The sequence below is a fragment of the Homo sapiens genome, chromosome X (genome assembly GCF_000001405.40).
Source record: "Homo sapiens chromosome X, GRCh38.p14 Primary Assembly".
NCBI classification, from domain to species: Eukaryota; Metazoa; Chordata; class Mammalia; order Primates; family Hominidae; genus Homo; species Homo sapiens.
Genome location: NC_000023.11, coordinates 47029501 through 47055812, shown reverse-complemented (window position 1 = coordinate 47055812; position 26312 = coordinate 47029501). Strand labels below are relative to the sequence as shown.

At 40.7% G+C, this 26312-nt stretch overlaps 1 protein-coding gene across 2 annotated transcripts in view, besides 1 other annotated feature; it reads right to left on the bottom strand.

The window, feature by feature from the left end:
- The window catches only part of JADE3 (jade family PHD finger 3), a 148942-nt gene that overhangs the window by 5430 nt on the left and 117200 nt on the right, over window positions 1-26312 (bottom strand). For both annotated transcript variants that reach the window (NM_001077445.3, NM_014735.5), the window contains exons 7-9: window positions 22025-22192; window positions 16748-16864; window positions 1185-1655 (exon numbers count right to left, since the gene is read on the bottom strand). In NM_001077445.3, the coding sequence (NP_001070913.1) occupies window positions 1185-1655; window positions 16748-16864; window positions 22025-22192 (756 nt within the window). The remainder of the gene's footprint in view (window positions 1-1184; window positions 1656-16747; window positions 16865-22024; window positions 22193-26312) is intronic.
- Window positions 7512-7806: an enhancer, noted in NCBI's record as "tiled region #7060; HepG2 Activating non-DNase unmatched - State 7:EnhWF, and K562 Activating DNase unmatched - State 5:Enh". NCBI's record gives its function as "activates a minimal TATA promoter and a strong SV40 promoter by Sharpr-MPRA in HepG2 and K562 cells {active_cell/tissue: HepG2 | K562}" and the evidence as "EXISTENCE:reporter gene assay evidence [ECO:0000049][PMID:27701403]".

The following is a 26312-nucleotide window of genomic DNA, read 5'->3' as shown; positions in this document are numbered from 1 at the left end:
GCACAGCCAGGTTGGGAAGCTGAATAATGGTTTAACAATTCAGCCTTCCCTTTAGATCCCTGAGTACGAATGATGGCAATGCTGGCTGTATCCAGTACAATTTTCTAATCAGTGCCGGACGAGCAGGATACAGTTCCACTGGGAAGACTAGAAGTGTTTTTTTTGCTCACACTTTCAGCTCAACCAAGTTTCCACAGCCACAAAGGTGAAATACTCTCTCTCTCATACTCCCTACCTAGGCAAGTTACACAAACTTTCTTTGCCCCAGTTTGTTCATCTGTAAATAGTGATGATGATAATAATAGTTTTTCATGGGCATGTTAGAATTAAATGAATTAATATTTATAAAATGCTTAGGACAGTGTTGGCAATAATAGTAATAGTAGGTGCTATATGTGAGTGTCTTAAATTTTTAAAAGTGAGCCAAATCTATTAGTTCTCTTTCAAATTCTGGTAGCAGAGAAAAAAAAACACAAGCCATTTATAGATTTACATTTAATTAGAAAATTCTCTAGGATAAACACAGGGCTTAACTTACCTTTGAAGCCCTGCAGTATCTCATTTAGTAGATACCTGATAAATATACCATGAGTTATATTGAATTATCATGTGGAGTGGCTCTCAACTGGAGAGCAAATTTGGTAATTTGCAGACATTTTTGGTTGTCACGCTGGGGGTGTGTGTGCGGGTGCTACTGGCATCTAGTGGGTAGAGGCCAGGGATGCTGGTAAACATCTTAAATTGCCCCTACAACAAAGGACAGCCCCCTAACAACAAACAACTATCCAGTCCAAAATGTCAACAGTGCCAAGTTTGTGAAACTCTAATTTGGTGTTTTCCTGAACAAAATTCACTCTTTCTTCAGCCTAAAGTCTCATAAATATGTCAGTAAAATATGGATGGGCCAATTTAGGCTCAACAGTGAATAAAAAGTAAACCAAATGAGAGTTTATTTCAAATGTAAAGTTCATAGAGCATATACCCGAGGCCTCCCAAATCCCCTGGATGTGCCTGTCAGAATTTACACAGAGCCCAATGTCTGGGGCCATAAAGAGATCAGAAGATAAGCAAGGACACAGAAGCCCACACTATTATGAGCTGACTGACCATTATTAAACCAGAAGTGGGACCTCCATTTCTACACAGACCGAGGCCTATATACTAGTCACAGCTGGTCACCTTACCCTCTCCAGGTCCTGGCGTAGATGCATAAACATTCTCATTCGAGTGTGAATGCTTTCCTCTTTTGGCTGCACCAGCCCATTTTCTTCATCCTCCTTTGGAGGAAATAATGGCTTATTGAAGTTACTTTTCCGCTTCAGTTTCCAGTAGTTATAGATAAAGTCCACAGCTAGCGTGGGCATACCCAGCTCTGCGGCCACATCTTCCACTCGTACCAAGGAATAGAACTCCTCCTCCAGCTCCCGAAGCTTCTGTGCCCGCAGGCTGGTTTTCTCACTTTTGGCCTGGCTCTGCTCTTTAGCCCTGTGGTGGGGGTACTCAGCTTCTCCAAGTTTCTGCCTGTTTTGGCTATGCTTGAGGCAATATGACTTGAACTTCACTTCGTCTCCCTCATCTAGGATGGTCTTCATCTCTAGGCCGTGCTCAAAGGCACAGGTGACGTGGAAGGCAGTGATGCAGCTTTTTATAGAGCACTGTAGGAAGAAAATAGGTGTCAAGGTAGCAGAGTTGGAGGAAAAGGGAGAGACCTATGTTTCTGGACCTAAATTGATAGCTTGTAGGAAGCAAAAGAAAGACCGGGAGAAAGTTAGTCCTAAACTGACCATAACAGATGCTTTACAAGTAACCCAAGAAACCTGTTCTTACAGAAAACAGCAAACACAGAGGCCAAAAATAATTCAAACACTCCTTTTGAGGTTTCAGCTCAAGCATTCAAGCATCAAGTTTTCTGAGATGCTTTCCTGGGCTCCTGTAAACAGTCATGTAGTCTCTTCTCTGTGTCTCCCACATCACCCTATGAATGCTTTTAAAATGGTACTTTTCACACTGTACCTATAACAATTGTCAAGTCCTTAGGGATAGATCTTAAAAACAGAAGCTGTGTCTTTCATTTTGCATCGTCATTAACTATTGAAGAAGCAGTTGCTCAGAAAATGTTTCTAAACAAACAAAAGAAAACACACAAAGTGAGTATTATTGCTAGAGCATCCACTGGTTCTAAAAAAGTCATAGGAATTCCAATATCTAAGTAACCTAACTTCTTGAATTTTTTTTTTAAACATAAAAATTTTAGGCCAGAGCACAGTGGCTTACGCCTGTGATCCCAGCACTTTGGGAGGCCAAGGCAGGTGGATCACTTGAGGCCAGGAGTTCGAGACCAGCTTGGGCAACATGGCGAAACCCTGTCTCTACTAAAAATACAAAAGCTTTCTGGGCATGGTGGTGCATGTCTGTAGTCCCAGCTACTTGGGAGGCTGAGGCATGAGAATTGCCTGAACCCGGGAGGTCCAAGCTGCAGTGAGCCGAGATCACACCAATGTACTCCAGCCTGGGCAACAGAGTGAGAACCTATCTCAAAAAGAATTTTTTAAAATATTTAAAAATAGAGAATCTATGTTGCTCAGGCTGGTCTTGAACTCCTGGGCTCAAGTGATCCACCAGCCTCAGCCTCCTAAAGCGTTGGGATTACAGGTGTGAGCCACCATGCCCCGTGAAATTGTTGTTATAGAACTGAGCTGTCCAACTTGGTGGCCAAGTAGCCATGAGTGGCTATTTCATTTTTTAAAAAAATTTTTTTAGACGGTGTCTCACTTTGTCACCCAGGCTGGAGTGCAGTGGTGCAATCTCGGCTCACTGCAACCTCTGCCTCCCAGGTTCAAGCAATTCTCCTGCCTCAGCCTCCCGAGTAGCTGGGATTACAGGCATGTGCCACCATGCCCGGCTAATTTTTGTATTTTTAGTAGAGATGGGGTTTCACTATGTTGGTCAGGCTGGTCTCAAACTCCTGACCTCAAGTGATTTGACTGCCTTAGCCTCCCAAAGTGCTGGGATTACAGGTGTGAGCCACTGCGCTTAGCCTTAAATTTAATTAAAATTATGTATAATTAAAAAATTTAGTTTCTCAGTCACAGTAGCCACATTTTAACTACACTAGACAGCACAGACATAAAACATTTCCATCACTGTGGAAAGTTTTTTTTTTTTTTTTTTTTTTTTTTGAGACAGAGTCTCACTCTGTTGCTGAGGCTGGAGGGCAGTGGCACAATCTCGGCTCATTGCAACCTCCACCTCCAGGGTTCAAGTGATTCTCCTGCCTCAGCCTCCCAAGTAGCTGGGACTACACGTGCCTGCCACCACACCTGGCTAATTTTTTTGTATTTTTGGTAGAGACAGGGTTTCACTATGTTGGCCAGCCTGGTCTCGAATGCTTGGCCTCAGGTGATCCGCCCGCCTCAGCATGCCAAAGTGCTGGGATTACAGGTGTGAGCCACTGTGCCTGGCCCACTGTGGAAAGTTCTATTGAACAATATGGTTACAGACAATCTGAAATTAAGTTTATAATATTCTGCCATTCAGTCATAGATTTAACACATTTATTAAGCATTACTATGCAGTATGTACTGACTATTCATAGGGGGGGGCAAAGGGGGAAGGACCTGGCCCATGACTACTATACTCCTGTGCTTCAGTTAGCCTTAATTACTATTTGTTATGGTTACAATGTTACAGCTTTCCTTCCAAAGACTGACTGATTGATTGAGACTGGGTCTCACTCTGTTGCCCAGGCTGGAGTGCAGTGGCGCGATTTTGGCTCGCTGCAACCTCTGCCTCCCAGGCTCAAGTGATCCTCCCACCTTAGCCTTGTGAGTAGCTGGGATTATAGGCGTGCGCCACCAAGTCCTGCTAATTTTTGTATTTTAGTAGAGACGGGGTTTCACCAATTAGCCAGGCTGGTCTCAAACTCCTGACCTCAAATGATCTGCCCACCTCGGCCTCCCAAAGTGCTGGGATTACAGGCATAAGCCACTGTGCCAGGCCTAATTTTTTTTTTTTGGGAGACAGAGTCTCACTCTGTTGCCCAGGCTGGAGTGCAGTGGCGTGATCTCGGCTCACTGTAACCTCTGCCTCCTGGGTTCAATCGATTCTCTTGCCTCAGCCTCCCGAGTAGCTGGGACTACAGGTGTGCACCACCATGCCTGGCTAATTTTTGTATTTATAGTAGAGACGGGGTTTCACCATGTTGGCCAGGCTGGTCTGGTCTTGAACTCCTGGCCTCAAGTTATCCGCCCACCTTGGCCTCCCAAAGTGCTGGGATTACAGGCATGAGCCACTGCACCCTGCTGCCCAAAGATTTAAAATGCATGAGTGCATCTATGTGTTTATGTAGAGGAAGTGGGGAAAGTAAGGGAAGATTCGTTTCTAAGGAAATATTGGGAATTCTTATGGTTAAAGCCAAGTGTTAATTCTTACATATGAATAAAGACAAAAAGAATGCAAAGGCCCAATAGATCATCTTAGATTGAGAAATTCAACACCTAAGAGGATACTGGCAACTGTCAAAGTTTTAAAGGGGCATATTCCATATTTCATTTAAACTAATTTCATATGATAAAGAATTCCAGGGATGAAATATAATTCTAAGATCATCTAATCCAGCCTTACATTTATTATTGCTTGAATTTCCTCGAGAGTACCTGATTTTCTGCCTCCATCCCCCACTCTATACACCTCCCCCTCCACTTTCCAATTAAGTGGTAATCTAGCCACTTACTGAATTCTTCCAGATAAGAAGCTCCTAAGATGGTCCACCCCGGCTTTTAACACCACTATCAGAAAAGTTTGTTATATTACACTGAAGCCTCTCGAAAATGAGGATGATGAAAGTTCAAGATGTACTTTTACCTGGGTACCTTTTGTTATCACTTGGCTAAGAAACTAGTCAGACGTTTGAAAAACAAAGTAAAAGGTATTCTTTAGTAAAAGATTTAAAGTGTTGGGCACAGTACTCTTTTGCTGTTTAATAACTGTTAAAGATATGGGAAGAAAAAGCAAATGATTTTCTATTCAAGGGAATGAGTAAGTGACATCAAACTACTATTATTGGGAAGCTAAAAACAGATCTTCTCAGGTCAAATTTATAGAATGTTTATAGAATGTAGAGACAAATATAAACATAAATTACTCAAAATAAAAGATAATGCATAGGTAAGAATTGGGTACTTATATGAAAAATATAATACCTTTTAGGAAACTGCCATAAAATCCAACTCTTTTCAAAAAAAGGTAATTCTGTGGTATTTATAGCTGGAGATCTATATATTTTGGTGGTGAAAAATGCTGGTCAATGGGTACGAAGTTATAATTGGGAGGAATAAGTTCTGGTGTTCCATTGCACAGGGTGACGACAGTTAACAGAAGGGTATTATATTTTACAAAATAGCTAGAAGAGAGGCTTTTGAATGTTCTCACCATAAACAAATGATAAACGCATGAGATGACAGATATGCTAAATATCCTGATTTGACTATACAACATATATAAAGACATCAAATTATACCCCACAAATATGTACAACTACAATGTGTTAATAAAAATTGCAATTTAAAAGATAAAACTTGGGCTGAGCATGGTGGCTCATGCCTATAATCCCAGCACCTTGGGAGGCTGAGGCAAGAGGATCGCTTGAGCTCAAAGGTTTGAGACCAGCCTGGGTAACATAGTGAGACCTCGTCTCTAATAAAAATAAAAAAACTAGCAGAGTGTGGTGGTGCACGCCTGTGGTACTCGGAAGGCTGAGGTGGGAGGATTACTTGAGCTCAGGAGGTCGAGGCTAAAAGGAGCCACGATTGTGCCACTGCACTCCAGCTAGACTGTAAAACAACAAAAAACGTACAATAATATTACCATTAAAAAAAAGAAGAAGAGTGCCGGGTGCAGTGACACACGCCTGTAATCCCAGCTACTTGGGAGGCTGAGGCAGGAGAATTGCTTGAACCCAGGAGGCAGAGGTTGCAGTGAGCCAAGATCGCGCCATTGCACTCCAGCCTGGACGACAGGGCGAGACTCCCTCTCAAAAAAAAAAAAAAAAAAAAAAAAGAAGAAGAAGAGCCAGGCGCAGTGGCTCACGCCTATAATCCCAGCACTTTGGGAGGCCAAGACGCAAGGACTGTTACAGTCCAGGAGTTCAAGACCAGCCTGGGAAACATGACGAAACCCTGTCTCTACAAAAAATACAAAAATTAGCTGGGTGTGGTGGTGCACACCTGTGGTCTCAGCTACTAGGGAGGCTGAGGTGGGAGCCTGGGAAGTTGAGGCTGCAGTGAGCCGTGATTGTGCCACTGCACTCCGGCCTGGGCGATAGGAGTGAGACCCTGAAAAAAAAAAAGGGTTGGGCGCGGTGGCTCACGCCTATAATCCCAGCATTTTGGGAGGCTGAGGCAGTTGGATCATGGGTCAGGAGTTCAAGACCAGCCTGGCCAAGATGGTGAAACCCCATCCCTACTAAAAATTACAGGCGGGCACCTGTAATCCCAGCTACTCAGGAGGCTGAGGCAGAGAATTGCTTGAACCTGGGAGGTGGAGGTTGCAGTGAGCCGAGATCGCGCCACTGCACTCCAGCCTGGGCGACAGAGCAAGACTCAGTCTCAGGGAAAAAAAAAAAAAAAAAAAAGAAGAAGAAAGGTGCCAGTCAGATACCAGATACCTATTTGTTTTCTTCTAAAACATATGTCTGGCGCATTCTATTAAACAAAATGCCTTTGCATACATCTCACTTATTTCCACTGTAACCACGGAAGGTGATAGAGAGGTTTTATTATGCCCATTTAAAAAATATTTTTATCTTTACAAATTTAAAATAAAAAATTGAGATAGCACTGTTCTCATTGTGGCAAGCAAATAGCACTTGTACAAAGCATCTTTTATACATGTGTCTTTAAACACTTTACTACGTGCATTACAGCATGGTCATTATATTCATTCACTGAAATGACAGAAATAGCTTTATTAAGATATATTTTATATACCATAAAGTTCACCAGTTTAATGTGTACATTTCAATGGTTTTCAATATATTTACAGTCATGCAACCATTGCCACTACCTAATCCCAGGATATTTTCATCACCACCAACCCCAAATCTTGTGTCCATTTGTAGTTACTCCCTGTTACCAACTCCAGCCCCAAGCAACTACTAATCTACTTTCTGTCTCTATTGATGTGCCTATTCTGGACATTTCATATAAGTGGAATTACAACAATATGTGGCTGTGTGAGTCTGGCTTCTTTCACTTAGCATGTTCTTCAGGTTCCTCTATGTTGTAGCATGTATTAGAACTTCATTCCTTTTTATGGGCAAAAAATAATTGTATGGATATACCCCATTTCATCGAGTTGATGGACATTTGGGTTGTTTTAACTTTTTGTCTGTTATGAAATAATGGTGCTATGAAAATTCATGCAGCAGTTTTTGTGTGGATATATGTTTTTGTTTCTCTTGGGTATTGTGCGGTAAAGGATAACCTTGTCTAAAAAAAAAGTTTGGCTGTTTGTCTTTAGCTCCTTAGAAGTAACCTTTAAGCCCCTGGAATGTCCTGCCTGATAAGAGTGTCTTTGTTTACCTTGGGTCCTTGGGCCAAGTGAGATAGTCTATGCTAACGATGTGATTTATGGTAGAGACTTTGGGGCACCTTCTATCAGCCTGACCTCTGGAGGGACTGGAGAGTAACATCAGCCACGTGGATGGTGAGCAATGCCTACGTGGCCAACTCTCAATAAAATCGCTGAACACCAAGGGTGAGCTTTCCTGGCTAGCAATACTCTATGTGTATTATACATTGCTGCTGGGAGAAATAAGCACTATCTGCACCACTCCACTGGCAGGGGTAACTGGAAGCTGCATTCCAGGTCTCTCCTGGACCATGCCTTATGTGCCTCTATCCTTGGCTAATTTTAAATCTGTATCTTTTCACTATAATAAACTATAACTGTGAGTATAACTGTTCTTCTGAGTTCTGTGAGTCCTTCTAGTGAATTACTGAACCTGAGAATGGTCTTGGTGATCTCTTAAACTGCAGTATATACTTAGGAGTAGAATTACTGGTTTATAAGGTAACTCTATGTTTAACATTTTGAGGAGCTGCCAAACTTTTTTCACAGCAGCTGCATCGTTTTTACTTCCACCAACAATGCATGAGGGTTCCAATTTTCCCACATCCTTGATTGTTTGCCTTTCTTATTACTGCCACCCTAGTAGGTATGAAATGGTATCTCACTGTGGTTTATTTACTTTTTTTTTTTTTTTGTAATGGAGTTTCGCTCTTGTTGCCCAGGCTGGAGTGCAATGGTGCGATCTCGGCTCACCGCAACCTCTGCCTCTCCTGGGTTCAAGCGATTCTCCTGTCTCAGCCTCCCAAGTAGCTGGGATTACAGGCACATGCCACCATGCCCAACTACTTTTTGTATTTTTAGTAGAGACGGAGTTTCATCAAGTTGGTCAGGCTGGTCTTGAACTCCTGGCCTCAGGTGATCTGCTCACCTTGGCCTCCCGAAGTGCTGGGATTACAGGCATGAGCAACCGTGCCCAGCTGGAAAAACAATTTTCTACATATTCTTCAGGAATTGTAGAAGAAAAATACTTTTTCAAATGCTTTCACTAGAGGAAAAATGCTACCTTTTACAAATCCACATTTATAAGAAGAGTTTCCGTGCCCAGGCTTATCTTGAACTTCTGGCTTTAAACAATCCTCTTGCCTCGGGCTCCCAAAGCACTGGGATTTTAGGTATGAGCCACTGCATCCAACCCAAAGTTTCTTCAAAGAGGAATGATATGCCTTAATTCCTAAATCAGTCTCTGGTGTTCTTTTTCAAGATTTTTATTCTAGCCACTCTATGTTATTCAATTTCTATCCCACACCTCAAGCATTTATCCTTTATGTTACAAACAATCCAATTATACCCTTTTAGTTATTTTAAAACAATCATTCATCATGACCAAGTGGGATTTATCCTAGGGATGCAAGGATGGCTCAACATATGCAAATCAAGCAGTGTGAAAAATCGTATCTTCAGCATGAGGGACAAAAACCGTATGATCGTTTCAACTGATGCTGAAAAAGCATTTGATAAAATTCAACATCCTTCATGATAAAAACCCTCAATAAACTGGTCATGGTGAATGATCTTTTCAAAGTATTGTTAAATTTGGTGTTCCAGTACTTTGTTGAGGATTTCTGCATCAATGTTCATCCAGAATACTGGCCTGTAGTTTTCTTTTTTTGATGTGTCTTTGTCTGATTTTGGTATCAGGGTAATACTGGCTTTGTAGAATGAGTTTAAAAGTATTCCCTTCTCTTCTATTTTTTGGAATAGTTTGAGTAACACTGGTACTAGTTCTTCTTTAAATGTTTTGTAAAATTCAGTAGAGAAGCCACTGGGTCCCAGGATTTTCTTTGAAGGGAAACTTTTTATAACGACTTCAATCTCACCATCTGTTACTGGTCCGTTCAGATTTTAAATTTCATCATGGTTCAATCTTGGTAGGTTGTATGTGTCTAGGAATCTGTTCACTTCTTCTAGGTTTTCCAGTTTGTTGGCATATATAGTTGCTCATAGCAGCCTCTAATGATCCTTTGAATTTCTGCAGTATCAGTAGCAATGTCTCCTTTTTCATCTCTGATTTTATTTATTTGGGGTTTCTCTCTTTTTTTTTCTCAGTGAGTTGGGCTAAAGGTTTGGTGATTTTATCTTTTCAAAAAACCAACTTTTTGTTTTGTTGATCTTTTTTTTCCATTTCAACTTCACTTATTTCTGCTCTGATCTTTATATTTCCTTTCTTCTACTAATTTAGGGTTTTGTTTGCTCGTTTTTCTAGTTCTTTAAGATGCATCATAAGGTTGAAGTTTTTCTACTTTTTTGATATACATGCTTATTGTTATAAACTTTCCTCTTAGTACTGCTTTTGCTATATCCCATAGGTTTTGGTATGTTGTGTTCCCATTTTTTTTTTTTTGTTTCAAGACAGTTTTAAATTTTCTTCTTAATTCCTTCATTGACCTACTGGTCGTTCAGGAGCATGTTGTTTAATTTCTAAGTGTTTGTATAGTTTCCAAAATTCTTCGTTATTGATTTCTAGTTTTATTCCACTGTGGCCAGAGAAGATAATTGATGATTTCAATTTTTAAAAATTATTTTAAGACTTGTTTTGGCACCTGACACATGGTCTATCCTTGAGAATACTCCATGTGCTGAGGAGAAGAATGTATATTCTGCAGCTGTTGGATGAAATGTTCTGTAAATATCTACTTGGTTGATTTGGTCTACAGTACAGATTAAGTCTGATACTTCATTTTTTATCTGGATGATTTGTCCAATGCTGAAAGCAAGGTATTAAAGTCTCTAGCTATTATTTTATTGAGGTCTATCTCTTTAACTCTAATAATATTTGCTTTATATTTCTGGTTGCTCCAGAATTGGGTGTATATATATTTACAACTGTTCTATCTTCTTGCTGAACTGAATCCTTTATCATTATATAATGATCTTTTTGTCTCCTTTTATAGTTTTTTTCTATTAAGTATAGCTACTCCTGCTTTTTGATTTCCATTTGCATGGAATATATTTTTCCATCCCTTTATTTTCAGCCTATATGTGTATGTATAGTGAAGCATGTTTCCTGTAAGCAACAGATCATTGGGCCTTGTTTTTTGTATTGATTCAGCCACTCTGTGTCTTTTGGAGAGTTTTGTCCATTTACATTCAATGTTATTGATAAGTAAGGACTTATTCCTGCCATTTTATTTGTTTTCTGGTTGTCTTGTGGTCTTTTCTTCCTTCCTTCTTTTGTTCTTGTCTTCCTTTTAGTGAAGGTGATATTCTCAGGTGGTATGTCTTAACTTCTTGCTTTTTATTTTTGTGTGTATCTGTTGTATGTTTTTGATTTGAGGTTTACCATGGGCCTTGCGGATAATATCTTATAACCCATTATTTTAAACTGATGACAACTTAACACTGATTGCATAAACAAATTAACAAAGAAGCAAGGAGAAAACAAAAACTCTACACTTCAACTTCATCCCCTTAACTTTTTGCTGTTTCTACTTACATCTTATTATACTGTCCATGTCTTCAAAAGTTGTTGTAATTATTATTTTTGACTGGCTAATCTTTTAGTCTTTCTATTCAAGATAGGAGTTTTCATACCACAATTACAATATTATAATATTCCATGTTTTTCTGTGTACTATTACCAGTGAGTTTTGCACCTTCAGATGATTTCTTATTGCCATTAACATCCTTTTCTTTCAAGACTGAAGAACTCCCTTTAACATTTTTTGTAGGACAGGCCTGGTGTTGATGAAATCCCTCAGCTTTTGTTTATTTGGGAAAGTCCTTATTTCTCCTTCACGTTTGAATGATATTTTCACTGGATATACTATTCTAGGATAAAAGTTTTTCTCCTTCAAAACTTTTAATATGTCATGCCACTCTCTCCTGGCCTGTAAGGTTTCCAATGAAAAGTCTGCTGCTAGATGTATTGGAGCTCCATTGTATGTTATTTGTTTCTTTTCTCTTGCTGTTTTTAGGGTCCTTTCTTTATCCTTGACCTTTGGGAGTTTGATTATTACATGTCTTGAGGTAGTCTTATTTCAGTTAAATATGCTTGATGTTTTATAATCTTCTTGTACTTGAATATTGATATACATTTCTCTACATTTGGGAAGTTCTCTGTTATTATCCCTTTGAATAAACTTTCTACTCTGATCTCTCTCTCTACCTCCTCTTTAAGGCCAGTCATTCTTAGATTTGCCCTTCTGAGGCTATTTTCTACATCTTGTAGGCATGCTTCATTCTTTTTCCTTTTGTCACCTCTCATTGTGCATTTTCAAATAGCTTGTCTTCAGGCTCACTAATTCTTCTGCTTAAGTCTGCTGTTAAGAGACTCTGATGTATTCTTCAGTCTGTCAATTGCATTTTTCAGCTCCAGAATTTCTGCTTGATTCTTTTCCATTATTTCTTTCTTTTTTTTTTTTTTTTGAAACAGAGTCTCACTCTGTCGCCCAGGCTGGAGTGCAGTGGCATGATCTTGGCTCACTGCAAGCTCCGCCTCCCAGGTTCACACTATTCTCCTGCCTCAGCCTCCCGGGTAGCTGGGACTACAGGCGCCCACCACCACACCTGGCTAATTTTTTGTATTTTTAGTAGAGACGGGGTTTCACCATGTTAGCCAGGATGGTCTCAATCTCCTGACCTTGCGATCCACCCGCCTTGGCCTCCCAAAGTGCTGGGATTACAGGCGTGAGCCACTGCACCCAGCCTCTTTTCCATTACTTCAATGTCTTTGTTAAATTTACCTGATGGGATTCTGAATTCCTTCTCTGTGTTATCTTGGATTTTGCTGAGCTTCCTCAAAATAGCTACATTGAATTTTCCATCTGAAAGGTTATATATCTGTCTCTCCAGGATTAATCACTGTTGCCTTATTTAGTTCATTTTGTGAGGTCATGTTTTCCTGGATGGTCTTGATGCTTGTGGATGTTCATCAGTGTCTGGGCATTGAAGAGTCAGCATTTATTGTAGTCTTTGCAGTCTGGGCTTGTTTGTATCCATCCTTCTTCGGAAGACTTTCCAGGTATTCAGAGGGACTTGGGTGTTGTGATCTAAGTCTTTGGTCACTACGGCCATATCTGCTTTAGGAGGCACTGCAAGCCTAGTAATGCCATGGCTCTTGCAGACTTGTAGATATACTACGTTGGTGTTACTGGGTAATATCTGGAAGAACTCCCTGGATTAACAGGCAGAGATTCTTGTTCTTCTCCCTTACTTCCCTCTAAACAAATGAAGTCTCTCTCTGTGCTGAGTTGCCTGGAGATGGAGGAGGGCTAATACAAGCACCCCTATGGCCACCACCACTGGGACTGCACCCAGTCAGATCTAAAGCCAGCACAGCATTGGGTCTCGCCCAAGGCCTGCAGTGATCACTGCCTGGCTACTACCTATGTTCGTTCACATCCCAAGGGCTCTACAATCAGTAGGTGGCAAATCCAGCAAGGCTTGTGTCCTTCCTTTCAGGGTGGCGAATTCCTCCTGGCCTTGGGTGGGTCCAGAGATACTATCTGGGACCCAAGGCCTGGAGTCAAGAACCTTAGGAATCTTATCTGATGCTTTCTTCTACTGTGGCTGAGCTGGCACCCAAGCTGTATGACAAAGTCCTTTCTACGTTTCCTCCCCTTTCCTCATGCAGAGGAGTCTCTGTAATGAAATTCCTTATAATCAAAATTGTAAGAGTCTCAATTTGGTAAGACCTTTATAAAATAAAGAAGCTGAACTCAAGTAATGAAAGTAAGAATCATTGCTCTGCAAATGAGAAACTTACACCAGAATGTTTCATCTCTCAAACTGTTCATCCATCATCCATCCATCAATCTATTAATTGTCTGTCTACTAGATTCGGGTATAGGGGATCTAAGGATGAAAGTCTAAGTTTACAGTCTACTAGGGCAGATAAAACTCATAGATAAATAACCATAATAGTGGCAGAATGTGGTACATCAGGGCTGTAATACAAATCCAGGTCTGTTAAGGTCAAGGCCAATATTTTCTCTCACCAAAGTCTTATTGCCAATTACTAATTATTGTAGAAAAAAATAAGCCTGGGCAACACAGCAAGACCCTATCTCTACAAAACAAAAAAATTAGCCAGCCATGGTGGCATGTGCCTACAGACCTAGCTACTTGGGAGACTGAGGTGGAAGGATTGCTTGAGCTCAGAAGTTCAAGGTTATAGTGAGCTATGATCTCACCACTGCACTCCAGCCTAAGTGACAAAGCAAGGCTCTGTCTCTCTTTAAAAAAAAAAGAAAAAAAGAAAGAAAAGAAAAAAAAAGGCCAGGTGTGGTGGCTCATGCCTGTAATCCCAGCACTTTGGGAGGCCAAGGCGAGTGGATCACCTGAGGTTCGAGACCAGCCTGGCCAACATGGTGAAATCTCATCTCTACTAAAGATACAAAAAATTAGCTGGGTGTGGTGGTGTGTGCCTGTAATCCCAGCTACTTGGGAGGCTGAGGCAGGGGAATCACTTGAACCCAGGAGGCAGAGGTTGCAGTGAGCTGAGATTGCGCCATTGCACTCAAGCCTGGGCAACAAGGAGAGACTCGGACCAAAAAAAAAAAAGAGCACAGTGCTCATGCCTGTAATCCCAGCACTTTGGATTGGAAGGCCAAGGCAGGAGGCTCACTTGAGGCCAGGAGTTCGAGACCAGCCTGGACAACACAGCGAAATCCTGTCTCTACAAAAAAAAAATTTTTTAAATGAGCCAGGTGTAGTGGCGTGTACCTGTGGTATCAGCTACTCGGGAGGATCATTTGAGCCCGGGAGTTCAAGGCTGCAGTGAGCTATGATTGTGTCACTGCACTCCAGCCTAGGTGACAGAGTGAGACCCTGTCCCACAACAAAAGCAAAAATGGGGGAAACTACAGTGACCACAATAAAGAAAATAAGTTACTGGATATAAATCCAATGTGCTACTATAAAATGACCAATAACTGAAAAATGAAAAATATATTATTTTTAGAGGGGGAAATGCATATCACAAATGAATCCATGGTACAATAAAACATGAATGTATTTATTTGATAAACCATAATTAAGTACTAACAATGGGCAGGCTCTCTACTTTGTGCCAGGGAAATTCACAGAAAAATGATGCACAATCTTGGCCCTCAAGGGACTCACACATGGGCAGCAACCAGGAGAGAGCTTAGATAAACACACAGGCAATGTCCTAGGGTAGTAGTCTCCATGGAAAGAGTTTTCCTTTAAATATTTTTCCTTTATGATTTTTAAAGTGCCATAGTTAAAATAAATAAAATCATCCAAGAAAGGTTAAAAAAAAGAAGAAGTAGCCAATTCTGTCAAATATAAGAATGAATTCAAAAAATTAAAAGGGCCTTTGGGGGTCCAGATTGTGTTCTTCAATTACAACTTCCCAGTAAAAGACCCTGGGTTCCTTGGAAGAATAGCTAATCCCAGGTCTAGAGCAAGAAATCTACACGATAAGCCTGGAAAATATTATCATGCCAGACAGCAAGAAATGTCACAAAGCACCTAGAGTCATTATCCCTAAAGCCAGTGGTCCCCAGCCTTTTTGGCACCAGGGACCAGTTTTGTGAAAGATAATTTTTCCATGGACTGGAGGGAGATGGTTTTGGGATGATTCAAGCACATTACATTTATTGTACACTTTATTTCTATTATTATTACATTGTAATATATAATGAAATAACTATACAACTCACCATAATGTAGAATCAGTGGGAGCCCTGAGCTTGTTTTCCTGCAACTAGACGATCCCATCTGGGGGTGATGGGAGACGGTGACAGATCATCAGGCATTACATTCTCATAAGGAGTGCTCAACCTAGATCCCTCGCATGCGCAGTTCACAACACGGTTCACACTCCTATGAGAATCTAATGCCACTGCTGATCTGACAGGAGGCGGAGTTCAAGTGGTAATGCTCACTTGCTCACCACTTATCTCCTGCTGTGCGGCCCGGTTCCTAACAGGCCATGGACCAGTACCTGTCTGTGGCAGGTTGCGGACCCCTGCACTGTGCAATGTCCCCTCTTCACCAAAGAAGGTCGGCAGGCAAATATAACTCCAACCAGCTTGCAGTTCACATGTAGGAGGTCTGAGAGGTGAAAGGTCAGCCCTTCCATCCCTCTAGCCAGAAGAGCCATCTTATTACATTTGGGATAGAAGGAGAAATAACATGGAAAGAGAAAGCAACCTTTGTGCCTTTGCTGGAGGTAACTGGCCCTTCCCAATCCCATCCACGTCTCCCCTAATTGCAGAAAACCATATACTGCATGTTCTCACTTATAAGTGGAGCTAAACATTGAGTAGGCATGGACACAAAGAAGGGAACAACAGACATTGGGGCCTACTTGAGGGTTAGGATTGAAAAACTACCTGTTGGGTATTATGCTGATTACCTGGGTGAGAAAATTATCTGTACACCAAACCTCTGCAACACACAATTTACCCATGTAACAAACCTGGACATGTACCCTTGAACAGAAAATAAAAGTTGGAAAGACAGAAAAAACAAAAAAAGAAATCATGTCCTTTGCAGCAACATGGGTGCAGCTGGAGGCCATTATTCTAAGCAAATTAATTCAGAAACAGAAAACCAAATACCACATGTTCTCACTTACAAACGGGAGCTAAACAGTGGGTATACACAGACATAAAGACAGGAAAAATAGACAGTGGGGATTACTAGAGGGAGGAGGGAGAGTACAAGGGTTAAAAAACTACCTATTGGGTACTTACTATGCTCACTATATGGGTGATACAACCAAATGTATTTCAAACCTCAGCATTACACAATATACCCATGTAACAAATGTGCACATGTAACCCCAAAATTGAAAATAAAAGTTGAAATTAAAAAAAAAAAAAAGAACATGGGCCTGGTTGTTTCAGAATTATAGCCGATTTCCACCCAGGATGGTATCAACTAGCTTTAGAACTCACTTAATTCATCAGCTCTGACAGCAAAGGATGAAGATAAACTATCACTACGAATATTGAAAAGAATAAGCTGAATGGTCCAGAGGCAATATCCAAAAAAGGGATTTCCAGAAATGGTCCGTACAATGGCAGAGCCCTAAGAGTGGGTGGGCGATCTCCTGAGTGACCTTTCAGTCGACAGGACACTCTCACTGGGAGGGTGAGTCCAGCTAATTTGGTGTTAGCCCACTCTACCACTTCTCATGGGGACTTACCTGAATACAAGCCCCCGTCTTCAACTTGCACAAGTTGCAGACTAAGGCCCACCGACTGGGTGGGATGTGGGAGATCTTCGTGATCGGTTCCATCCTCTCAGGACAAGCAATGCTGACCTACAAATAAAATACCACCATAAGGCAGAAGTACCAAGGCATCCCAGAAGTACCTTTCACAAACCATAAACGATGTTACATAAAGCTAAGAACATCAAAACAATGAGGTAAGTCACATCTCTTAAGGTTAATATGGAATCAAGAATAAACAAAACTTATTTCCACTGCTCAGTCCTTCACTCATTTCCAGTAATGTAAATAATTCACATATGGGATGAGAGAGCAGGAGTATAGACTAGGCATGATTACCTTTTACTTTTCTTTCTTTCTTTCTTCTTTTTTTTTTTTTTTTTTAGAGACAAGGTCTCCCTCTGTCACTCAGGCTAGAGTTCAGTGGTGCAATCATGGCTTACTACAGCCTTGAACTGCTGGGTTCAAGTGATCCTCCCACCACAGCCTCTACCACACCTGGCTAATTAAAAAAAAATATTTTTGGCTTTTATCTAAATGACAGGCAATAACAAATGCTGGTGAGGAGTGGAGAAAAGGGAACCCTCAAACACTGTGGAGAAAAGGAAATGTTTATACACTGTTGGTGGGAATGTAAATTAGTACAACCACTATGGAGAATAGTTTGGAGGATTCTAAAAAAAACACAAAAAATAGAGCTACCATATTATCCAGCAATCCCACTGTTGGGTATATACCCAAAAGAAAGGAAAACGGTATATCAAAGAGGTATCTGCACTCCCATATTTTTTGCAGCAATGTTCACGATAGTCAAGATTTGGAAATAAGCTAAGTGTCCATCAACAGACGAATGGATAAAGAAAATGTGGTACATATATACAATGGAGTACTATTCAACCATATAAAAGAACGAAATCCTGTCATTTCCAACAACGTGGACAGAACTGGAGGTCATTACGTCAAGTGAAATAAGCCAGGCACAGAAAGACACACATTGCATGTTCTCATTTATTTGTGGGATCTAAAAATAAAAACAACTGAACTCAAGGAGATAGACTGTAGGAGGATGGTTACCAGAGGGTGGGAAGGGTAGTGGGGGGAACAGGGCAGGAGGAGGGTGACGATAATTAATGGGTACAAAAAGGATAGTCAGAAAGAATGAATAAGACCTACTATTTGATGGCACAACAGGGTGACTATAGTCAAAATAACTTAACTGTACATATAAAAATAACTACAAGAACATAACTGGATTGTTTGTAACACAAAAAGGATAAATGCTTGAAGGGGATGAATACCCCATGTTTCATGATGTCATTATTAGGCATTACATGCCTGTATCAAAATCTCATGCATCCCGTAAATATATACACCTAATATGTACCCACAAAATTAAAAATTATTATTATTTTTTTTGTAGAGACCAGGTCTTGCTATGTTACCTCAGGCTGGTCTTGAACTCCTGGCCTCAAGTGATCCTCCTGCCTTGGCCTCCCAAAGTACTGGGATTACAGGCATGAGCCACTGCGCCCAGCCAAGGTTACCGTAATGGACACTTTTACTTAGGAACCAAAGAAAGCTACTGAAAGTAACTAAATCGAGTATCTATTATGTTAAGAGATGGTGCTACATGCCTTGTTGTTTCATTTAATCAACTAAGGATAAAAAACAGAGGGAGTGACAAGTCTTTCCATTTGATTTACAAAGGAACCATGATATTGTTGAAAAACAGCACATCCGTGTAATGAAGAGACTGCAGAATGTAAGTAGAAAGGAGGAGGATGACATTTTAAAACAAAAGTCTTTAAAACCACATAACTATCATGAGCTTACCCTACTCCCTCAGCCAAAGTAGCTTCAAAGTGAAATTAAGTCTTTGGGAGAGTGCTGAAAAGAAAGGGATGCTTTTTTTTTTTCCTTTTTTTTTTTATTATACTTTAAGTTTTAGGGTACATGTGCACATTGTGCAGGTTAGTTACAGATGTATACATGTGCCATGCTGGTGCGCTGCACCCACCAACTCGTCATCTAGCATTAGGTATATCTCCCAATGCTATCCCTCCCCCCTCCCCCTACCCCACCACAGTCCCCAGAGTGTGATATTCCCCTTCCTGTGTCCATGTGATCTCATTGTTCAATTCCCACCTATGAGTGAGAATATGCGGTGTTTGGTTTTTTGTTCTTGCGATAGTTTACTGAGAATGATGATTTCCAATTTCATCCATGTCCCTACAAAGGACATGAACTCATCATTTTTTATGGCTGCATAGTATTCCATGGTGTATATGTGCCACATTTTCTTAATCCAGTCTATCATTGTTGGACATTTGGGTTGGTTCCAAGTCTTTGCTATTGTGAATAATGCCGCAATAAACATACGTGTGCATGTGTCTTTATAGCAGCAAGATTTATAGTCCTTTGGGTATATACCCAGTAATGGGATGGCTGGGTCAAATGGTATTTCTACTTCTAGATCCCTGAGGAATCGCCACACTGACTTCCACAATGGTTGAACTAGTTTACAGTCCCACCAACAGTGTAAAAGTGTTCCTATTTCTCCACATCCTCTCCAGCACCTGTTGTTTCCTGACTTTTTTAATGATTGCCATTCTAACTGGTGTGAGATGGTATCTCATCGTGGTTTTGATTTGCATTTCTCTGATGGCCAGTGATGATGAGCATTTTTTCATGTGTTTTTTGGCTGCATAAATGTCTTCTTTTGAGAAGTGTCTGTTCATGAGTGAACAGGCAACCTACAAAATGGGAGAAAATTTTCACAACCTACTCATCTGACAAAGGGCTAATATCCAGAATCTACAATGAACTCAACCAAATTTACAAGAAAAAAACAAACAACCCCATCAAAAAAGGGATGCTTTTTCTGTTTTCCTTTTTGAATCAGGGTCTCACTCTGTCACCCAGGCTAGAGTGCAGTGGCAGGATCAGGGCTCACTGCAGCCTCGACCTCCCAGGCTCAAGTGATCCTGCCGCCTCAGCCCCCTGAATATCTGGGACTACAGGCATGCACCACCACACCTGGCTAATTTTTTGTATTTGTAGTAGAGATGGGGTTTTGCCATGTTGCCCAGGCTGGTCTCAAACTCCTGGACTCAAGTGATCTGCCTGCCTCGACCTCCCAAAGTGCTGGGATTATAGGCGTGAGTCACCACACCCAGCAGAAAGGGATGTTTTTTAAAAAGATGGAAATATTCTTTTCCATGTGAAAATAAGGGGTCAAGCAACTGCTGGTAAAAAGTATTTTCATTCCCCCCACCCCGCCAAATATATACATGAGTTTCTAAGAGAGATACAGCTTTAAAAGGTGAAGAACTGTCAAATAAGGATGCCAAACTAGTACTGGTTCTGCCCACATCAGGAAACTAACAGATCTTGAGTAGTCCAGAAGGCACTGGAAACCAAGAACTAGAAATCATAAGAGAATGTCAATAACTGAGAAAGTCTATTTTGTTTTTAAAGAGCTCTTCCTGAGTCATGTTCTGGACTTTTATAAGCTGAGAGAGCCTACTCTATTAGCTGAGGGATTTGCTGTTGGAAAACAGTCATTCTCAAGCCAGAAACCTGAGTTTATTTTATGTCTAGATGTTCTTAGTGAGAAAAAGAAACTACTATTCAAATATTTTTTTAAAATACTGATGTCTATAGCCATAGGAATACAAAAGTATATATATGGGACTTTTAGTGTAACTCTGAGCTTCTTTATTAGACAATAACTCCCCTGGAACCAATATTAACAAGATTAAAAACAAGAAAATCTTAAAGGAGAATGAGTTACTGATATAATGTCAGCTCCCCATTAACTAGATTCTGCAGTCTCTCTTGTCATGCAGTTAAACTGCCTAACAAATTTGCTGGTTTGGATAGTGGCTGGGGAGAGAGGGCATGAGTGGGATATCCACACAGCTAAAGAAAAAAAAAGGCAGCCATAAGAAGAAATGTCTTCAAGCCCCATTTTAATTAAGTTAGTGTACATGTAGCCACTCAGGAAATACCAGCAACTGAAGGACCAGGCTAGATAATGATAAAAAATTGAATTTTGAGTAAAGAAGGTCTTTGGCAGGTGTTGAGTGTAAGCCCTAAAAAGAGCTTCAAAAAGTAAAGGGCATCGGCCGGGCGCAGTGGCTCACGCCTGTAATCCCAGCACTTTGGGAGGCCTAGACAGGTGGATCACGTGAGGTCAGGAGATCGAGACCATGCTGGCTAACACGGTGAAACCCCGTCTCTACTAAAAATACCAAAAAAAAAAAAAAAAAATTAGCCAGGCATGGTGGCGGGCACCTGTAGTCCCAGCTACTCGGGAGGCTGAGGCAGAAGAATGGCGTGAACCTGAGAGGTGAAGTTTGCAGTGAGCCGAGATAGCGCCACTGCACTCCAGCCTGGGTGACAGAGCGAGACTCTGTCTCAAAAATAAAATAAAATAAATAAAAATAAAAAAGTAAAGGGCATCATCACAGTAGACAAAGAGTTACTGCTCACTTTATTTGTAATAGCCTAAACCTGTAAACAACCCAAATGCCCATCAAAGGAAAATGAATAAATCAGAGTATATCCATACAATGGAATATTAGCAATAGAAAGGAATAAACTATTGATATACACCACAACATGGAGTGTTAGCCAGACCGAAAAAAATACATACTGTATGAAGTTTAAAACCAGATAAAATTAATCTATCATGATCAAGACAAAAATGGTGGTTATTCTTGGGGGATAGAGACTGGAAAGTGGGTATAGAGGATCTTTCTGGGGTGCTTTATGTCTATTTTTAGGGTATTTCATGTCTTGGTCTGAGTTGTGGTTACAGATACAAACGTGTAAAATATCACAAAACTCTACACTTAAAATTTGGCATCTAAATATAAGTTTTACCTTAAAAAATTCTGCTGCTCACACCCTGGTCTTTTGTGTCTCTCCTCTCATACAAATTTATCAATTTATACATGATATACCCAAATATCATGTATATATTTGGGTATTATCCCAAATATCGTGTATATATTCGGGTATTATCCCAAATACCACTGGGAATACCACCTATATATTAATCACCATGGGCTTACATGCAAGTGTGCATCCAATAAGGATCTGAGGTAGCTCAAGTGGAAGTACTATTACTTCAGAAACATGGGCAAGCATGAAGCATTTCCATACTGAGCCTGAGTCAGTCTGAATGCTGTGGGGAACAGGGACACCCTGGAGCAAATGGTCTCACGGGCCTGGATGAATTCTTACCTCTGGGATCCACAGGGCACAGCTGACATGAGCCCATTTAGTCCCTGTCTTGGTGGTCTTCAGGGCTCCACCTTTCTTTGGACATAACACACATTGCGGATAAATGCCCAGGACACAGGAGCGACACAGCCAGCTGCCTTCTGGGACCTTGAGGATGCCATAGCAGGCCTGGAGGTATGAGGAGGAGAGGGGAGAATGGTCAGCACCTTCTCACCAGGGTTGGTATCTGTTCTGATACACAGTCACAGAGTATCCTCTGCTTTTGGGAGAAAGGCAAATAAAGCCGAACAAGCTTATATCCAGTATCGAGTGATTTAAAAATACTCAAAAAAGCAACTTCCAGCATCTCTCCTAAGATCAGCATGTCTGTCCATGAGAACTGACTTTAAGGATGATAGAACAAGACGAGGAGATACAGCCAACCGTTAACCCAACTGTTATCTGAGTGTTGTGATTACAGCATTTTTTGGTCTGTTTTCTAAAGCTTCTTCAATGACTATGTATTATAATTAGTCAAACACTTATTGAACATTTCCTAAAAGTCATACACTGTTGTGATCAAGAAAAAAGTTTTAGAAAATAAAGAGAATGAAACTTCTGAGGAGCAAATGAACTGACGTTTATAAAAAGCCTATTAACGCCTGGTGCATAAAAAGTACTCAGTAAATCGTAGCAATTGCTTGCTTGGGTTGAAGAAACAGGGACTTGTGAATGAATCTTGAATAGAATATTACACTAATCACAATAATTCATAATGAGTTCTGGAAGGTGCTTCAAATCCTTTATGGAATGAAGTTGGACAAATAATTACTGTGAGAAACTGGAGATTAGTTTGGGAAACATTCTAGACTCCCTTTTTGCTATCCCCAATTTTGCCCATCATTTCCTCCTTACTGCTCTACTCTATTAGAGACTAACTGATTCAATATGGCAGCTTCAAAATTTCTGTCTGCCTCAGGAGATTCACCCTCAACTCAGATTCAAGTTATAACAGTTACCATAATATCGGTCCCCCCACAACCTGGTCCTTTTCCAAGCTCCTTCTTTCCGTGTCACCACCATACTTCCTATCTTCCAGATCCAAATTCCTAGACTTGTATTACTCACTTTCTTTCATCTGCTGACCTGGTACTTGCTATTCTCCCTACAGTGGCCCCAAGACTCTGACGTTCCTCTCCGTCCTCACCACTTGCTCTATCCAAGTTCTCATTATGCCATGCCTGGATTGATTAATTTCTACATTTTCTTTTTCCCCCTGCACGCCTTCAACCCTTCTTCTACTTGACTGCCAGATTCTCCTCACTAAAAGAATTCATACCATTGTACAGTGGCAAGCCCTTTAGATATTCCTTCTGCTCTTACCTGCTCCCCACTATCCAAACTAGGGGTTGGCTATTTTCCAAGGTCTGTTTTATAAAGCCAACAAGCTAAGAATGGTTTTCACATTTTTAAAGGGTTGTAAAGAGAAGAAGAAGAACATGTAACAGAGACTGTATGTGGCTATAAAGACTGAAATATTTACAGCGGATCCTTAAAGAAAAAGTTTGCCGGTTCCTTATCTAAAGCCTGTTGTTCCTTGTACTTCACTATCTGATCTCATGCCCCACTATACCCAAACACAGGGCTTCTGACTTGGACAGGCAGGCCTCCTGGTTTTCTCCATAACTGGTCATTCTTATTTTCACATCCATGTGTCTAAGCAGCTTCCCTGCTCTACATGGTCAACTGTTGTTTGCATAGTTGGACCTTTCTCACCCTTCCAGACCCGGTTCAAACTCCAGGCCCCTCCAAAAATCCTGCTCAGGTCACTGTAGCCCCTTGCGTTTGTCCCACTGCCTGACTCCCATCCTCCACTCCATGCAATTTCCCTCACCAAGTACATAGTCAGCATCATGTGTTCTTTAATTTTATTATTATTTTTTTTGAGACAGGGTCTTGCTCTGTCACCCAGGCTGGAATGCTGTGGCATGATCTTGGCTCACTGTAGCCTCAACCTCCTGGGCTCAAGCAATCGTCCTACCTTAGCCTCCCGAGTACCTAGGAGCACAGGCATGTGCCACTCTGCCCAGCTAATTTTTGTAGAGACGAGGTTTTGCAATACTGCCCAGGCTACTCTCAAAATCCTGGGCTCAAGTGATCCACACTTTGGTCTCCCAAAGTGCTGGAATTACAGGTGTGAGTCACAGCACCCGGCCAGCATCATGTATTCTTTTTCTCTACATTTGCTGTTGTGTTTCTTCTCCTCAGTGACATTTTTAGTATTTTTTTTTCTTTTAATTAACCCTGGCCTACAGAACTCAATGAGATTTTAAAGTCACTAGAGGTAGAGCTGTTATCATCAATTTACCTGGAATGCCCCCTATGCTGAGCTTGAGTAGGTGGTTGGATAAAACAAATGTATTTAGCTCAAGAACTGAAGCTGGACTCTAGGTAGGCTCCTCTCACAAGAGCAAGGCATCATTTTATAAGGTTTCTAACCTTTAAAGCTCTTTGTCTGAGGCCCAGAATGTTTGCTAGGAAATGAAAGCAAGCTTCCTCCCTAAAATAGAGTCTCTTTCAGACTGGCAGAAGAGAGGTCAGGTCAGTGACTGGCTCTTGGAATATCCTTTAGCTCCTGGCCAGTCTATAGGGCAGAACATCATTTACTGAGCCCTTTTGTGGACTTACTCACAGTCATAAGATCATAGATACATGTAAAAGGATTTAGAATGGCCCTAACTTTCACATTTTTTTTTTTTTGAGATGGAGTCTCACTCTGTCGCCCAGGCTGGAGTGCAGTGGCGCAATCTTGGCTCACTGCAATGTCCACCTCCTGGGTTCAAGCAATTCTTCTGCCTCAGCCTCCCGAGCAGCTGGGACTACAGGTGCATGCCACCACACCCAGCTCATTTTTGTATTTTTAATAGAGACGGGGTTTCACCATATTGGCCAGGCTGGTATTGAACTCCTGACCTCGTGATCCACCCGCCTCGGCCTCCCAAAGTGCTGGGATTACAGGCGTGAGCCACCATGCCCGGCCCAACTTTCACATTTTTTAAAGAAAAAATGTTAAATTCATTGTTAAAATCTAAAGGCTACTTATGTACACATCTCTTCTAAAGTACACATAAGTGTATTTTTTGTCACTGAGGAACAAACACTGAAATGTAATATGGTGTCACTAAAGAAGAAAAATCATGTTTAATAAATTCAGATGTCAACATGTCCCCATTCTGTTAGGGAGTAAACCAAATCTTCCAAGGTATTTTAAGTCACTTTTCAGCCAACAGAGGGAGCTCTAAGCCAAGTATCTCTTTAGAATCCAAGTAAATATACTCACTTTGGAAGAATCTCTTATGTGAAACTTTATAGGGTACCAATGTCCCAGCTTTAATACATACCAGTTTACATACTGCAAGGTCTGGTCAGTTATTGCCATCTCATCTCTTTCTATGTGAGAAAGGGGTATCATTTATATTCATTACCGGAATCGTTTTTAAGACTAATAAATAGCATTGGAGATAATTATGCTACATTTGAGTTTGTTAAAGAACCTGAGAATACTTACTATTTTGTCCCAACTGTAAAGGACAAACATAGGAAATATATACAGATGACCTTTATGCTATTCCTTTTAAGCCTACTACAGATCCACAATCATTTATCTGAAACCTCTAGGGTAAGAAAAATTAGGAAATTCAGAATTGCTCAGATCTTAGGAAAGTATATATATATATATAGTATATGACCTAAGCCCCCAGTGGGACCAGGGGCAATACCATATAACCAAACACATTAATAGTTCTCTAACAAAATATATGAGTATTTAAACAAAATGGATAAGGACTACAAATGGCCTCATACTGGGTGGGTTGTGGTATTGTCCTCAAATCAGTTCTGGTGTGAAACTTCAGCAAAAACATGCGTTTTTCAGAACTTTATAATTTTGGAATTGCAGAGAAAGGACTCTGGGCTTGTATTGTGAGATATAATACTTAAGTTCATAGTTAAATGGTAAAGATTTTCTGCTCTCACTTAAAGTCTGATATAAATGCCAATAATTGGTAAAGTGAAGACAAATTTTCAAAATTCACTTTGTTAAAGGTAAATGAAGAAAAAGACCCAATTGGTCACAGAATAATTCTGAGTACCTTTTACATACAGGGTGGTTAGGTTAAGAGGCCCAGGGAATTAAAATAATCTTAAGCCCTGGTTTCTATCTGCTATGTTATCTATTCTAATTACTTTAGTCATTTTGTAGCCAGAATGATCTTTCTAAAATACATATCATATCCTCCAGGGTTGACAG